This window comes from Homo sapiens, chromosome X, assembly GCF_000001405.40.
Source record: "Homo sapiens chromosome X, GRCh38.p14 Primary Assembly".
Taxonomy (NCBI): domain Eukaryota; kingdom Metazoa; phylum Chordata; class Mammalia; order Primates; family Hominidae; genus Homo; species Homo sapiens.
This window is the reverse complement of record NC_000023.11, coordinates 5,409,170-5,410,680: the sequence shown is the minus strand read 5'-3', so window position 1 is coordinate 5,410,680 and position 1,511 is coordinate 5,409,170. Positions and strand designations below refer to the sequence as shown.

At 36.7% G+C, this 1,511-nt stretch overlaps 1 non-coding gene across 1 annotated transcript; it reads right to left on the bottom strand.

Moving 5' to 3' along the window:
- Nucleotides 1–429: 429 nt before the first annotated feature.
- On the bottom strand, nucleotides 430–559 carry LOC124900497 (small nucleolar RNA SNORA20). Its single transcript, XR_007068427.1, has one exon. It is a non-coding gene; the product is annotated as a small nucleolar RNA SNORA20 (small nucleolar RNA).
- Between the last annotated feature and the right edge of the window lie 952 nt (nucleotides 560–1,511).

Here is a 1,511-nt window from a genome sequence, read left to right as displayed (position 1 = left end):
AAAGTGAAAGGATACACTATTATTTCTGAACAAACTGGGACATATGGAAGCCTAAATCTTTGTTGCAAATATCAGCTGTTAATGAATAGCATTTCAAGTTTTAATATAAAAACTTAATCATTTTATTTACTTATTTATATTTATTTTTATTCTTTATTTAAGAAACATTTGGCTGGGCACAGTGTCTCATGCCTGTAGTCTCAGCTACTGAGGAGGCTGAGGCAGGAGGCTCACTTGAGCCCAAGAGGTAGAGGCTGCAGTGAGCCATGACTTTGCTACTGCACTCCAGTCTGGGCAACAGAGCCAGACCCTGTCTCTTAAAAAAAAAAATATATATATATATATATAAATAAATATATGTAATACATATTTATATATATAAATATATATGTTATATATATAAATATGTGTTTTTTATATATATATAATATATAGATAGTCCATGCAGAAGAGGTGAAAATAGTTACTCATGTCAATATACGATGGCCCAATATTATTTTTTCCCATAAGTATAACTGGCCATATCATTGTGAGACTATACCAGCAAATAAATGGGAAGGCACAAGAACTTTTTTTAAGATCTCTCTAGAAGTGAATTTTTGAAATGTGAAACTGGGCTTTTTCCTAGTATCCCAGCACTACTTGATAGATAATCTCTCTTTGCCCCACTGTTTGGTAATTGCATTTCTCTCAAAGAAATGTTTTTATGTTTCCTAGTTCTAGTTCTAATCACTCTCATTTGAGCTGTCAATATTTAATCCCTCTGTATTCGCCTTACTGTCTTCATTACTACAATTTCTGGAACCGTTGGCACACTTTTGGACAAGTTCTGATCTTTGCATTCATCTTCAGAGGACTGTTTTCTGTTCCTGTTTCAGCTAAAGACAATAGATCCACTCTAATCCTAAAGCGATTGTAATGGTGTATAAATTTAGTGGGACAAATGAAGGAGCAGACTTTATGCTGACTTTCTAGGTAAGATTCCCAGAAAAGTTTCTAGAATCACTAAAATTTATGGATATTTTTTCATTTGCTATGATTTTAAAAAGCTGGAATTCTGAGAGGTATGTCCTCTAGTTGACATAGATGGACCCCATATGTCTCAGTCCCTTCAGGCTGCAATAACAAAAACATCATAAACTGAATGGTTTATAAACAACAGACATTTACTGCTCACAGTTCTGACGGCCAGAAGTTGAAGATTAAGGCGTGGCAAATTCAGTGTCTGGTGAGGACCCACTTCCTAGTTCATAGATGGTGCCTTCCCACTGTGTCCTCCCATGGTGAAAGGGACGAGGGAGCTCTAGGGGGTGTTTTTAAATAAGGCACTAATCCCATTCACAAGGGCTTCACCCTCATGACGTCATTACCCCCCACATTTCCCACCTCCTAATACCTTGAAGATTAGGTTCCAACATACAAATCTAGGGGGACACAAACACTCAAACCCATAGGCAGATTCAAATGTATGCCACACTCCACTCCCTGTTCTACCACTCAATAGCTACAAA